The 16,838-nt window shown below is 35.8% G+C and overlaps 1 long non-coding RNA gene and 1 pseudogene across 1 annotated transcript in view; both read right to left on the bottom strand.

The window, feature by feature from the left end:
• Positions 2,246 to 3,329, bottom strand: METTL8P1 (methyltransferase like 8 pseudogene 1; annotated as a pseudogene).
• The window catches only part of LOC105369673 (uncharacterized), a 79,767-nt gene continuing 79,373 nt past the window's right edge, over positions 16,445 to 16,838 (bottom strand). The window contains exon 3 of the long non-coding RNA XR_007063224.1: positions 16,445 to 16,648. This is a non-coding gene — a long non-coding RNA (uncharacterized LOC105369673). The remainder of the gene's footprint in view (positions 16,649 to 16,838) is intronic.

Below are 16,838 nucleotides of genomic sequence, written 5' to 3' on the forward strand. Positions count from 1 at the left end.
GAGTTCTCATGAGATCTGATGGTTTTATAAGGGGCTTCCCCTTTCACCTGGCATTCTCTCTCCTGTCACCCTGTGAAGACCATGATTGTTAGTTTCCTGAGGACTTCCCAGCCATGCATACTGTGAGTCAATTTAATAAACCTCTTCTCTTTATAAATTACCCAGTCTTGGATATTTCTTCATAGCAGCATGGGAACAGACAAATACACTGCAGCAACATGGATAAAACTGGAGGTCATTATGTTAAGTGAAATAAGCCAGACATAGAAAGACAAATATCACATGTTCTCACTCGTATGTGGGAGCTTAAAAAATGGATCTCATGAAGATAGAGAATGAAATGGTGGTTACCAGAGGCCAGGAAGTTTGGGGGTCCATGAGGAGATGTTGATTAATGGGTATAATTATATGGTTTGATAGAAAAAATAAGACCAAGTGTTCAATAGATCAGTAGGATGATTATAGTCAATATTAATCTACTGTACATTTCAAAATAACTAAAAGAGAATAATCTGAATGTTCTAGCATAAAGAAAAGATGAATATTTAAAATGATGGATATCTCAATTACCCTGATTTGATATTTACAAATTATATTACTGTATGAAGTTATCACATGTATCCCCAAAATATGTACATCTATTATGTATCAACAAAAACTACAAATACCTAATGCAGTTAAAAGATCCTAGAAATGAGGGAAACTAGAGGAAGCTAACAGTGCAACAGGAAAGATAATGGCAAAGAGAGATTGTGTGTGTGTGTGTGTGTGTGTCTGTATGTCTGTGTCTGTGTCTATGTGTCTGTGTTTCAGAGGAGGAGGAGAACAAAGAAGAAGAAAAGGAAGAAGAAAACTGTGAGGACAAAGAGGAAAGCTACACAGAAAGACAGCTCGCAATTTTTTTTTTCACAAGATTTAGAGAAGCTGGAACATTCTTTATCTCCTAGTCCTCCAATTTTACAATGTTTTCCGTTTTCTGTACAACCTCCTTGCTCCTTACTATTTACCACCTGAAAGGGCATTGCTAAAGAAGAGATCCAAGCAAGTTTTCCAATCTCATTTCCATAGCAGCAGCAGCTGCTGCCTGGAATTTCAGTAGCAAGTAACTGAACACACCAACTTTCTGCAACCTTTCCACTCCTTCTGTGCTCGCTTGTGATCTCCCCAGAATTCTTCCTTTTCTCCTTCTCCCCAAGTTAAAGTTAAGGTAAATGTTATTGTTAGGAGATTCATAAAAATACCCAAACTTCAGGTCAAATATTATTGTCAGAGAGAGCCTAGACTAACCTACGGGTTAGCCCATTTGTTTCTCCTGTCCTCACAAGGATTTCTGGACCGTTTAACATACTGGACATGCAATACTCTCTCTTTCTCTCCTTTGCAACCGTGGCTGTTTATCTTCTTCCACTTCCACCCAAGCTGGTAGTTTGTAATTGAACTGATGTATGGTAGAAACTGTATGAAGCCAATCGTTTGTGTCTTATAAAAGCCTAGACTCATTAAAGAAATTATTATATGCTTCCACGATGTGGAGAGGAAAAGGAGAAGATCTTTGTGGACAGAAAAAGACAGAGAGAAAAAAAAGAACCTAGCAACAGGGTGAGAAAAGGATGGAATTTGGTAGGCAAGAGCAATGCAAACTCACTCTGCTTCTAGCAGTGCCCTGGGGGTGAAGGAGAGAGTTTGGGCAGCTGACTTTTAGCACCAACAAAGACCAGTCTGCAAAGGAGCACCAGAGCTCCAGGCATCCTGAACATCAAAGGATTATGAGGACTTAGAAACAACAGGCATCTGAAAGGGACCAGCATGAATCCCACACTGGAAGTGCCTCCTAAAATATTTGCTTTGCATAAAACTCCAGGACCTTTGCACAATCCTAGAGGAACACTGAGGATTTTGTGAGAGAGACTGGTGGCATAGGAGCTTAGGTTTGGATTTAAATTGATTTTATGAAATGAAGAAATGTGATATTTCTTACTCTGACCACTCTACAAGTATCATTAATGTAAAGAGATACACATACAAAAAATACACAATCATGATATATGTTTATATGTGTATGATTATATAATCATCAAAAACTTTATTTCTGTAGATTACATGTGGAAGTTAACAATCCTTTTAAGCAAATATTAGTCTCCCCTTTGAGGGTTTTGAGCTTCATTATGGTCAGGAATTCCTCCCTTTGTGTGTGTGTGTGTCTGTGTGTGTGTGTGTGTGTGTCTGTGTGTGTCTGTGTGTGTGCGTGTTTGGGAACTGGCTTACTAAGCCTAAACAAATAAATAATTTTTTTACTTGCAAAAAATGTCAAGTTACGTTTTCTCAAAATTACCTGACATAATACCAGTTTAATTGAATGCTTATAAAATTCAAGGAACAAGCAAAATGGTTAGATGTAATAAATTCAAACAAGCTTAGGCATATCAAGTTTTCAAAGCGCAGAAAAAGGCATACTGTGCTGAATCACTTACATGTGCTTAAAATGCACAAAGGAGCTCACCTATGACAAAACAGCAAGAAATACAAATTCTCTTCTTTTTTTCTCATTGTCTTTTGAGAAACGAAAACCTTACAGTAGTCCTTGAATAGCACAGTCCTCTGGCTTTGTACCTTAACATGTTACAAAGTTCAGCCTTGAGAAAGGAGTGTAGATACCATATTGGAACTATTCTGAGTCTGGTGCAATGGTTTCTGGAATTTGCCTTGAACCCACACTCGGTGCATTTTTACTTGTTTTTTCCTATTAACTCGTAAGTGGCAATCAACCGGATTTTGCTTTTCATCTAAACTGGCTTTGCAGAACATACTGTGGACTTCCCCTTTTGTAAAGAAATATGCTCTGGTACCATCTCCTCGAACATAAAAATTTTCAGATAAACAATGTCCCTTTTTAAAACGAAGCTGACTCTTATATCTTCCATAGTCTCAAAATAACAGCATTCCCCCAGGTTTCAGTAACTTGGACAGTAGGTTTACAACACCTTGCATCCTGTTAGGATGAATAGAAGAGAGCACAAAGACAAGGAGAATGACATCCAGGATCCCATCTGGAAAAGGGTAAGGTAAGCCATCATCACATACATCATGAACAAAGGCAAAACACTGGGCTGCTCTGTAGAACGAGTGTGACTTTACAAGCTCCACAGCTCCAGAAGCAAAATCACAACAATACAGAAAGGACTCTGGAAAGCTCTGCGAAGTGTTCAAAATTGGAAACACACTATTTCCAACTCCACAACCAACCTCTAGTATCCTGAAAGTGGCACTGCTACCAGGAAACAATCGGTCTTCATACGTCCTTTTTTGTGTTTTTCAGAGTCTAGGTTGGAGTCTTTTGCTCCAGAGCCCCTCTTGTGGGCAGGCAGAATTCTAATACTCATGATCTTGGCTCTCTATCTAATTAGAAACTAAAGAGAGTTCTTTGTTTTCAGCTCTCATAGTGCAATTCCATCTAAAACAGTTGCTACCTTAATTCTCTGAGGTGGAGTGCAAGCCTACGTCAGCCTGTTCAATATTTTAAGACACAAGTTTCTCACGTCTCAGCAAATGGAAACCTACAGGGTTGTAGCAGGTCCTCAACATGTATGTCTCTCCAATTCTCCATTTCCTCTATTTAGTAGCAAGTAGTGCGTGCGTGTGTGTGTGTGTGTGTGTGTGTGTGTGTGTGCAGGTGCATGCGCATGTATGTGTCTGATTGGAGGATTATTCCTCTATTTTTCTATAGCATTATCATTTCTCATTTTAAAACATTATTTGCTGTTACTGACCCTCCATTCCAGAAACACATCGCTTTCTTCCTCTGTACTGGAGTGTAGCAACACAAAGACACAGCCAACAATTTCACTTGGTGGTCTGATGAACTCTCATAAATGCCTTGTTTACAGCATAAGAATGTAAGTACATATTTATATATCTCTCTCTGACAAAATATCCTTTCCATATATCTGATGGCCATTAATTTGGACTTAACTAGTTTTGTCCAAAAATGAAATTCCAAGGGCCAGGGAAGAATAAAATGTACTTGAAAAATTTCTTCTAACTGGTATAAATATTAAATTAAACTTATATGCTAATTGGAACAATAATGGCCCTTTGGATGATTCTACATTACAAGCGTCAACTGAAATAAGGTCCCCAATTGTCACTGAGAACATCAAAGGGATCTTACTTTGAGGAATAAATATGTGATTATAGTGATTATGTGTGAATTGTGGTTATATTCTTCAATAAAGAAACATGCTGGGATTTACAACTCTCCTCTGAGACTTAGTCAAATAAATTAACACATATTGAACACCCACAGGATTCCTGCAGCAGAATAAACAAATTATTTTACCAACCTGCAAAACATCAGCTAGTGGACTAAGCTGCACAATGAACTCAGCTGAGCGTGGCCCCAAGCAGAACAATTAAGCAGGCAGAATTTATTTTCATTGTGGGTTACGTCTCCATTGTGCAATCTAGAATGGCTTGGACTGGACGTCAGAACTGGATTCTGTTTCCAGCTCTGGCATCTGATAGTTGCATAATAGTATTGAGTTTCAATTTCCTAATTTTGAAATGGGAAATCATTGCTTCCGTCTCATGGATAGTTTCAAAGGAAACAACAACTGGGAAATTACTGTTCAAATTGCTGAACATTCTGTGGTCATAAAATATTGTTTATCTGCTTCATTTTTTTTCTCAAGACTTCCCTAAAGCAGGCTTTATTTTCATGATTTAATCCCTCTTCTCCTTTTTCTTCTAAATCTTCTCTCCAATCCCCTCTACATTGCTAAATCAGAACACTGTCCAATTCTCAGTTCTCATCCTACTTAACTAATCAGCAGCATTTGACAGAATTCACAAATTATCTTCCTTAAAACATTGTCTATATTGAGGAAATAACATTTCAAGGATACAGTGCACTGTATATAGATATACCTTCTAACATATGTATCTATATCTCTATCATTTTATATCTTGGGAAATTACTTTTTTATTGTCTTTCTGCACATTAGAATGATTTTTCCTTGAAAACAAAATGCGTGTCTATATGTTTTGGTACTTTTTTTATCCAAAGCAATGAGAAAAATGCCTGGTATGAAATAAACAGACAATAAATAATTTTTAAATGAGTGAAAAAATGAGTATCCTTATTACTGAACCTGAATGTAAAACTAGCCTTAATAATTTTCCATTCTAGGGAAAAATCTTTGTGAGATAAGAGAAGTTAGTGGCTTTTAAAGTGGACACTTTTACATTGATTGAAGTAGGTTTTGATTGTTTGTGCCTGGAATTATTTATGAAGCTGATTCTAGCTAGCATATCAATTATTAATAACTGGGGGACCCAGACAAAGAGGAATTTATATACATTCACAATCTCTTTCATGGTTCTTTACTGGGTACTTATAAGACTGGAGAAAAGCGAAGAAATTGGCAAGAGCCCCATGCTTAGTAGTGCATATGTGAGAAGGTGATTGGATGCTTCTGGAGTCAAACACAAATCATCACCCACTTCCCTGGATTCTTCCCTCCTATGTTGCCAAAAAGCTCAGCCTCTAGGGCAGGAGTGGAGAACCCTTTTATCCCAGAGCACAGGAAGAGATTCCTGTATTCTTATGTAACGCTTTAATATTGTTATATTTAAACAAGGCAGAAGCTATATTTCTAATACTCCTGTATGCCATTTTTCATTTTATGTTAAAATTAATTTAACATAAAATGAAATTTTATTTTATTAACAAATGAAAGTTAATTTGTTCTCTGGAGTTCCATGGGTAATTTTTTTTTTCATTTTGGCTTTAAAACTTTCTCTCAAAGTAGCAGGATACCATGCAATGTTGTTCAAGATTTCAGCAACTCCAATAATAGGTTTCAGACACCAATATAATGTCCCTTTCTAATATTCAGCAGGGAGATGAAAGCTATAAGAAAGTGTCAAGTAAAATGACTTGGAATTTTTTTAAAAAACCATGATATCAGAGGTGAATAATTCTTTTATGTAGCCTATCAATAGTCTTGAAAGAGCAGAAGAAATAATGAGTGAACATGAAAATAATTCAATAAAAGTTACCAAAACTGAAACACAAGGAGAAAATAGAGTGGAGAAGGGGAAACAACAGAAAAGGACATCCAAAAGCTGTAGGATATTTGTCAGCCTGACATATATAAACTTGCTGATCTTGGAGGAGACAGAACAGAGCAGAAGATTATGTGAAAATATAATTGCCAAAATGTACCAAAAATAGTGGAAGATATCAAACCATGGGTCCAGAAGCTGAGAAAATATCAACATGATAATTCTAAAAAGTAGATACATTACAGTCAAACTGCTAAAAACCAAAGCTAAAGAAAAAATCCTAGAGGCAGACAGAGGAAAGAAAAAGAAATGTTATAAACAAAATACACAAAAATGACAACAAGAATTATAGCAGGATTCTCATTAGAAACTATATTATACTACATTATGTTACCCTATACTGTACTATATGACTGTATCATGCACCAGAAGTCAAAGTGTTATCTGTAAAATATTGTCAACCCCAAATTCTATACCCAGCGAACATATTTTTAAAAATGAGAGATACAAATGTCAAAAGATGAAATAAACGTGTTTTCAGAAAAACAAACAAGAGAATTGACTGCTAGTAGAACTGTATGTTTTAAAAAATTGTAATAATAGACTTTCAGGTATAAGGAGTGTGAGACCAGATCAAAGCTTGGATCCACACAAAGAAATAAAGAGTGCACGAAATGATAAAAATGAGGATAATAAGATAGATGTTTTAATCTAATTTTTCATAATTAAAAGATAATTGAATGTCTAAAGTAAAAATCATAGGTTTAAAACATATAAAACTAAGTTTTTCATCCAATAATCCTGTTCAGAATAAATTGCATGACAACAATCATGTAAAGAAGAAGGGGGAAAAACTTGAAAGTATATGATTGTAAAGTTCTTGCCCACTTTAAATGAGGTGGTAAATATTTAAAGGTAAACATGGTAAGTTAATGGTTTCTATTGTAATCTATAAAGAAAGTACTAAAACATATACAACTAATAAACCAATAGTAAAACTTAAGTAAAGCTATTTTTAAAAATATTCAATTAATCCAAAAGAAAGCCAAAAAAAGAAGAAAGGTGAATGAACTTGGATGTGTTCAAATAGAATACACTCATGAATTAGTAAATACAAATACAATTATATTAAGAATTATATAAAATGTAAATGTCTAAACACTCAAATCAAATGGCAGACATTGAGAGATTGGTTAAAAAATTCCAACCACTGGCTGTCTACAAGAAATCCTATTTAATTATAAAGATGTGTAGAGATTTAAAGTTAAAGGATGGGAAATAATTATAGTATGAAAGCATTAACTCAGGAAAGCTATAATCACTACTTATATCAGACAAAGCAGACTTCAAAACAAATAGTTCCAGAGCAAAAAAGAGGTATTATATAATAATAAAAGAATCAAGTAATCAATTAGGTCTAAAAATTCTATATGTATATGCATCAAACCACGCAATTTCAGAATGCATGAAGCAAAAACTGGTAGACCTGCAAAGAGAAATAGAAAAATCTACAATTGTATTGGACATCTCAATACTCCTATTTCAGTAACTGAATAAGTAAATGGGAATCAGTAAGGATATAGAAAACCTGGACAACATAGGCTGGGCGCGGTGGCTCACGCCTGTAATCCCACCATTTTGGGAGGCTGAGGTGAGTGGATCACCTGAGGTCAGGAGTTCGAGACCAGCCTAGCCAATTTGGTGAAACCCCATCTCTACTAAGAATACCAAAATTAGCTGGGCATGTTGGCAGGCACCTGTAATATCCCAGCTATTCTGGAGGCTGAAGCAGGAGAATCACTTGAACAAGGGAGGCAGAGGTTGTAGTGAGCCAAGATCGTGCCATTGCACTCCAGCCTGGGTGACAGAGCAAGACTCTGTTTCCAAAAAAAAAAGAAAAAGAAAAAAAAGAAAACCTGGATAACACTATCAACAACTTGACCTAATTAATATTTTGAATACACTATACAACATGAACTAAATACATATTTGCATATGCACATGAAATTTTTGCCAAAATACACTGTGTTCTCAGCTATAAAGAAACATCAACAAATTTTGAGCAATTGAAATCAGGCAACATATGCTATCTCACCAAATGGAATTAAAATAAAAATAAATAACAGAAAGAAATCTGGAAATGCTCAAATATTTGGAACTAAATAACACACTCTAAAATAGCCCATAGGTCAAAGAGCAAATAGCAATAGAAACTTAAAAATATTTTGCACTGAATGAAAAAGAAAACACAACATATGGAACACACCTAAAACAGTGCTTAAATTGACATTTATGTAACATTAAATGCCAATTTTTAAAAACAATGACGTTTCTGAAACAATATTATAAGATTTTAAGAAACCATAAAAAAAAGCGGAACAAATTAAACTCAAAGCACGCAAACGGAAACAGTAAAATTAAGAGCAGAATTCAATGGAATGTAAAACACAAAAAGAATAGAACTAAAACCTGATTCTTTGAAAAAAATTAATAAAAATATAACAAAGATGCCCAAGTAAAAGTTCAGGACATGATAGCTGCACAGCTGAATTCTACCAAATATTCTAAAAAGAACTGGTGCCAATCCTTTTCAAAATTTTTTAAAAATCCAAACTCATTTTATAAGGTCAGCATTACCCTGAGACCAAAGCCAGAAAAGGACACTACAAGAAAAGAAATTTACAGACCGATATCCCTGATAATCATAGATGCAAAAATCCTCAATATTAGCAAATGAATCCAACAGCACATTAAAAGGATCATTCGCCATGATGCAGTGGGAGTTATTTCTGGGATGCCAGAATTGTCCAACATAATCGATAAATGTGGTACACCACATTAATAAAATAAAGGATAAAACTCATATTATCATCTCAACAGATGCAGAAAATGTATTTGACAAAATTCAACACTCTTTCATGATAATAACTTAAGGATAGAATAAATATATCTCAACATACTAAAGGCCATATATGACAAGCTCACAGCTAACAACATACTTAACGGTGAACATCTGAAAGCTTTTCCTCTAAGATCAGGAGTAAACGAAAGTGCCCATTCTTACCACTACCATTTAAAATAGTATTCAAAGTCCTAGCCAAAGTAATCAATCAAGAAAACAAAATAAAATACATCCAAATCAGAAAGAAATAAGTTAAATTGTCTGGGTGCAGATGACATAATCTTATGTATAGAAAACTCTAAAGATTCCCCCCAAAACTGTTAGAACTAATAAATAAATTCAGTAAAGTAGCAAGATATAAAAATCAATATATAAAAATCAATTGTATTTCTATATGGTGATGACAAGCTATTCCAAAAAATAAGAAAACAGCCCAATTTAGAATAGCATCAAAACAAATACAATACTTAGGAATAAATTTAACCAAGGAGGTAAAAGATCTGTACAATAAAACTCTAAGACATTGATGAAAGAAATTGAAGAAGACACAAGTAAATGGAGAGATATCTCATGCTCATGGATTGGAAGGTTAGCACTGTTAAAATATCTATACTACATAAAGCAATCCACAGAGTCAGTGAAATCCTTATCAAAATTCCTGTAGGAATTTTCACAGAAATTGCAAAAACAACCCTAAGATTCTTATGAAATTACAAAAGACCCTAAATAGACAACATACTCTTGACTAAGAAGAACAAAGCTGGAGGCCTCGTCCTTCCTGATTTCTAACCATATTACAATGTGTAGTAATCAAAACAGTTTGTTAATGGCATAAAAACAAACACATGAACCAATGGAACAGAATAGGGAACCCAGAAACAAACACACACAAATGCAGTTGTTACGGTTTGTGTAATCTCGAAAATTCAGATGTTGTCAATATGATGGCATTAAGAGGTTGGGCCTTTAAAAGAAGAATACACCATGAGGGCTCCTTCCACATAAATGAGACTAAAGTCTTCATAAAAGAGATTTCATGCAGCATTCAGCAGCTTGCCTTTTGGATTTTTGCCATGTGAAGTCATAAGTTTCTCTTTTGCAGGGAATATAGACATCACCAGATAACCAAAACCTCCTGGTACCTTAATCTTGGACTTGTCAGCCTCTACAACTGTGAGAAATAAATTTCTATTCTTTATAGATTACCCAGTCTGTAGTATTCTCTTGTAGCAGCACAAATGGACTAAGATAACAGTCAACTCATCTTTGATAATGGCCCAAGAGTATACAACATGAAAAGGATAGTCTGTTTGATAAGTAGTTTTGGGAAAACTGGATATAAATAATTTGAAAGGGAATACAACACTTTCACGATTCATAGGTAATGTGATTGTAAACATAGAAATCTAGAATAATCTAAATAGATTTTTAAATTAACAAAAGGATTTAGTAGAGTATCTGGATACAACCTAAATATACATATATCAATTGTATTTCTATTAACAGAAACAAATAACTAGGAAAAAAGTATCACTTACAATAGCATTAAACAATCTAAAAATATTAGGAATTCATAAAATATGTGAAAATCTCCATAGAGAAAATTATGATTTTATTGAAGAATATTAAAAAGACCAAAAGTAAAAGGAAGATATGCCATGTTTATGGGAAAAAATATTTTTCAGATGTAAATTTTATCAAAATTAATCTATAAATTTCATAAGATTCTCATAAAAATGAGAAGAGATAAGAACAGGCAAGATCCTCTTGAAGAAGACATATTAGACAAAAAAGTCATCTATCAGATAATAGAATTTGCTTGAAGCTATGGTAATTAAGACAGTGTTTTTTTTTTTAGCACAGAGATAAGGAGCATAGACTAGTGACACAGATCAGGAGTTCAAATACAGGCCTTCACATATATGGACACAAAATGACAGAGACACCATAATGTGCCAATGGGTAATTGGCAAGCTTCAACAAATAGAACTGGGACAGTGAAATGACCACTTGAAAAAAAAATTTAAATGGTATTTCCAGATAGATGAAGAGCCTGAAAGTGAAAGACAAATCTATAAAACTTTAGGAGATAAGAAAATATCTCCATGAAGTAGAGTAGGAGAATATTTCTTAAACAATATACAAAAGTCACTAAGTAAAAAGGAAAAATCAAAAAATTCAAACACATTCAAATTTTTAAAACCCATTCATAAAAACAATATTAATGAGAGTGAAAAGATAAGCCATAGAAAGAGAGGTTATGATTGCAACACATATATCTTGAAAAAAGATCTGGTATACCAGCGAAATCTTACAAATCAAGAATAAATACACCACCACCTAAAAGAAAATGAGTAAATAAGGCTTTAATGGTTTCCTTACAAAAGATGAGATCCAGGCAACCTGTAATGCATTAAACTGTGTCTCTCAAAAATTCACATAGTGAAGTGCTAGCCCCCAATACTGCAGAATGCAATAAAATTTACAAATAGGATTGTTGCTTACGTAATTAGTTAAGACAAGATCACACTGAAGTAAGCTGAGCTCCTAACTCAATATGATCATTGCCTTATAAAAAGAGGAAATATGGACAGAGACACACCAACAGGGAGATTGCCGTGTGGACATCATGGCAGAGATTGGGCTGGTGCATCTGTAAACCAAGAAGCACAAAAGATTTCCAACAAACCACCAGGAGCAAGGCAAGAGGCACAGAAGAGATTCTCACAACCCACAGAAGGAACCAACACTGCTAGCGCCCCAGACTTCCAGCCTCCAGAACTGTGAGACAATAAGTGTCTGTTTAAGCCACCCAGTTTGTGGTCTTTGTTACAGCAGCCCAAGCAAACTAATTTATGGTTAATTAACCTAAGAAAATGTGACCAAGCTAGTAATTAGAAAAATCAAAATAATAATAATCTATTTCTGCACGCCGATCAGATTGGCAATAGTACAAAAATATCAATGAATGGTGAGGATGTAGAGCAATAGAACTATCCTGTCATCTACTACTTTTGACAACCACTTTCCAAACAGTTTGGAACAACTTGATATCATCTGGTAAGTTAAATGTATACATTATTTCTTAATTCAGAAATTCTACTGTCAGGTGTATATCCTAGTGACTAATCAGTGTGTATAATGATTTCTAGTCACCCAGGATACATACACAAACGTGTAATTAGAAGCTAAATGAGAAACAAACTAAATCTATCAATAGCAAAGTAAATAAATAGATCAGTGTATACAGTTGATCCTTGAACAACACAGGTTTGAACTGCATGGGTCCACTTACATAGGAATTTTATTTTTCAGTAAAAACGGTAGGACCTCTGTATGGGCAGGTTCCACATCCACACGTGGATCAAAAATACTGTACAATATTCACAGAATGTGAAACCCTTATATAGGGAGGTATAACTTTTCATATCTGCAGGGCCAACTGTGAGACTTGAGTATGTGCTGATTTTGTTATCCATGGGCAGTCCTGAAACCAATGTCTCATGAATACTGAAGGCCAACTGTATTTCTTGCAGCAATGAAAAAAAAGTAAAGCTACGCACAACAATACGGATGACCATCACAAACAAAATTTTTAAAATATGATACAGATGGTTACATAAGTGTTTGCTTTATGATTATTTGTTAAACCAAATCAGCACATTATTTGTTTTTCTCTAGTTATATTTCACAATTTAAAAATTCTAATCTTTGTTTTCTATTTGGGGAAGTCCCACCCAATGGCTTCAATCTTTAGGTAGAAATTTGTCACTTGCCTACCTCTAAATGCACAGTCCAGAAGAGTAAAAACAGCAACAATGACAAGATTCTGTTTAAGAAAAAAGAAGAAGATAGATATTTGGTAAGGAATTAGTAGTATCTGCTCCCCTTGTGCCAGTCGTTGTTTGACATGCTTGTGCAATTATACTTTTTCTTTTTTATATACTTTTAAGGTATATATTTTTTCATACAAAAATGTGCATAAATGAGGTCTGCTCTAAAACTTGAGGAAGAAATTTTCTACATTCAACTTAGTGCGAATGAGTATGTCAGTGGTTACCTTGATTTACTTCTAAAAAACTGTCATGTGAAAGTATGCATCCTCAAGAACGAATCCCTCTGTGAGACAGATTATAGACTATCCCTCTTCTGTGGAGTTGGCCTCTCACTCAACTTGGCATAGTGCTCTAGAGAGGGCAGGCCTGCAACTATTTCCTGGTTCTGCTGAAGTGATAAGGATATAAATGGGATTATACTTTTCGGAATTTATCATTGCATTTTTACCTCAGGATCACTCTTTTTTTTTTCTAAATTTCAGAGGTTTTTGGTAATCCAAAATCTTCTGTGTGATGCCTGAGCCAACCCTTCCTCATAATTCTCTTCCCCCTAGTAACTTAAGGAGCCTCTATGGAAGTGGGGAGAGACAAAAGTGGAAGTCTGCTGGGTAGGGCTGCTTGGAAAACTTTTGCTTTCTTGACACAAAGGGATCTTTTCTGCTTGTACAGAATGTTGTGGAGATGTTGGCAGGTGTGATGCAGCAAGCATGGGGACTAAAGCAAACATATCATGGATTGTGGAGCAGAACTTGGACCAAACCCAAATCCCAATAAGCATTGCTGAACACTTGCATCAGCCCAGGATTACCTATCTATGGACTCCTACACCACATGCCATTAGATGCAGAGGCTACATCCTAAGATGTATTCCAGAAATCTTAGAACATAAAAATTATTTCTCACTCTGTCTACTTGTAGATAAATAGAAGCCATTGTTGTAGGACCCCATCCAGGGGCCTATGTCATATAAATTATTGAACGACAGTTTATTAGCCCATTCTCATGCTGCTATAAAGAACTACCCAAAACTGGGTAATTTATTAAAAAAAAAGAGGTTTAACTGACTCACAGTTTCACAGGCTATACAGAAGGCATGGCTGGGGAGGCCTCAGGAAACTTACAATCACAGCTGCAAGCGAAGGGGAAGCAGGCACATCTTCATATGGCAGCAAGAGACAGAGAGAGTGAAGCGGGAAGTGCTACACACTTTTAAACAACTAGATCACATGAGAACTCTATCACAAAAACAGCAAGGGGGAGGCCCCCCCGCCATGATCCAATCACCTCCCACCAAGCTCCTCCTCCAACACATGGGGATTACAATTCAACATGAAGAATTGGGTTGGGACACACAGAGCCAAACCATATCAGACAGTCAATTGAAATTTGACTTAAAAATCAGTAAACTACCTAGATAAGAGATTATAAATAACTTCCATAACAATTTGGTAATAAACTCCTGATAAGTCCTATATTTTTAAAAAATCCAGCTAAACTAAAACTAAACAAAAATGCTAATAATAGAGAGGCTTTCAAGTTCAGAAGAGTTAACGCTAGTTTAATTCCTCATCTTTATTCCCCAGAGTCTTGCTCTGTCACCCAGGCTGGAGTGGCATGCTGGGTTCACTGCAGCCTCTGCCTCCTGGGTTCAAGCAATTTGCCTGCCTTGGCCTCCCGAGTAGCTGGGATTACAGGCGCTGTGCACCATCACACCTGACTAATTTTTGTATTTTTAGTAGAGAGAGGGTTTCACCATGTTAGCCAGGCTGGTCTTGAACTCCTGACCTCAGATGATCCACCCGCCTCAGCCTCCCAGAGTGCTGAGATTACAGGTGGGAGGCACCGCGCCTGGACTCCTCATCTCTTTTCTTACCTTAAAGAAGTTAACTAACTTTTTGTCTCAATTACTTAATCTGTTAATTAGTCAATAATACCTTTTTCACAATATTATTGCTATACATGGAAAACAGCAGTTACATTTCTAGTACATGGTACTTTTTCAATAAATAGCAGCTATCATTAAAGCTCACAAAATCAAGTCATTCCCTAAGGTCACTAGCTATGCCAATTGATTCTTCTTGGGGCAATTGATTCTTCTTTTACGTAATAAGTGGATTAGACAAAATGACTCTTTAATATTCTATAACTACATAAGACAAAAGTTGTCCCTATAAACCAGCATCTCATACAAGTGGAGTTGCAGAGAAAGAAAATAATACTTGAGTTCTAGTCCTAACTCCACCACTGCCCACCAGGTCAACAGAGAAACCACAGATCCCTTCTGTGTAGAATTACAGGGTTGAGTGAATATGATCTCTGATAGTCTCTGATGCTGTTGGTACCAGACAAAAATGTCTGATACTTTTGGTCATGGTGGGCAGACAACATGTGAAAGCAGAAGTGAGTTCAAAGCTGGAAGAGTTCACCATATTTCAGGATCAACTGCTGAGACTTGGATGTCTGGCACCATTTTGATCAAAGGCTCAAACCTGTGCCTCTTGACTCTGGTGTCCAGTGCTGGGAAGTCTATTTGAGACACAGTTTTGCTTCCCTTGCTCTAGGATAAAAGGGAAGTTATAGGCTTGTATTAATTAAACGTCCGTAAAGTGTGGATGAGTGAGGCACATATACAATGAAAGTAAAAAGGGATGTAACCAACCTAAGGAAGGAGTTCTAAATTCCATCACCACACACTAGGCCTATATGAAGAGATAACACAATAATTATAGAAAAGGGATTATAAGCACCAGGACCTGAAAATCACCCCCCTCCTTTTTTTTTTTTTAATGGAGATAGAGTCTTGCTATGTCACCCAGGCTGGAGTGCAGTGGCATGATCTCGGCTCACCGCAATCTCCGCCTCCTGGGTTCAAGCAATTCTCCTACCTCAGCCTCCCGAGTAGCTGGGATTACAGGTGCCACACCCTGCTAATTTTTTGGGTTTTTTTTGTATTTTAGTATCACCATGTTGCCCAGGCTGGGCTCGAACTCCTGAGCTCAGGCAATCCGCCCGCCTCGGCCTCCCAAAGTGCTGGGAAAATCCCCTTTGAATGTCAGGGACAGGTTACCTAGGAGAAAGGCACAGCATTGCAAACATAAAATTAAGCAGTTAATTTCAGAGGAAAAGACTGAGTTTTAGAAAGCCCCTGTTCACTGGAAACAAAAAATGTGACCATACAAAAGAGCCTATAGCATCATTTCCAGTTTAGTCTAGTTAGTAGGGAGGGAATCATGATGTGTTGTGTGTGTGGTCTGGGCCTCAAGCCATTGGGAAATGCTTAGAAGAATTTGATCTACTATGTTTGTAAGTCTGATTTACTTGATTTACAATTTCTACAATTTCAGTACTTAGCAAGATGTTGTTAGATCTGTATTTGAGTGTTTAAAATAAAATCTGTATATATCTTAGTCAATTAAACATTTGAGATAATACAGATGTATTAAAGTTGTCATTGTAGTTTAACATATCCAAGGCAATTTTATTAAATACATAAAATGGTGTTGTTTGAAAAAGAATTTGATCTCACATATCAAATTCAGAAAAGCATTTTTTCAAAGTTACTAAATGTAAAAATAAAATAAGATTTATAATTCAAACTTAAAGTCTTGAAAATTTTTAATTTAAAAATTGTACCTTTAATCAAAGGAATATTGATTAAAATCCAAGTTTGGGATAGAATTCCTGTTCCTGAACAAAATCCCCACTGATATTATTCCTTTCAGCATTTGTCTTCCTGTAGTCTGGCTACCCCAGGCAAAGTGCAGCAGGAGGCAGAAGAATCCCATCATAAGTAGGTAGGCACAAATCTTTCACGTGTTTCTGCCCATGCCTGCATCTGTAGTGCCACCTAGTGTCAGAGAGGGATAATAACATTTTTAGAAGTCAAGGGTGGAGCATGAAACCCATTTCAATTCTCAATTTTTTCTTAAATTCTGAATGTGTGAAACTTTCCAAAATCGTGGTGTCTAAGCCTTTTTTCTCTCTGCTGTCTCATGGCATTTTGTGTTTTCTTGTTTATATTCCCATAGCACATTCTA

This window comes from Homo sapiens, chromosome 12 (assembly GCF_000001405.40).
Source record: "Homo sapiens chromosome 12, GRCh38.p14 Primary Assembly".
Classification (NCBI taxonomy): Eukaryota; Metazoa; Chordata; class Mammalia; order Primates; family Hominidae; genus Homo; species Homo sapiens.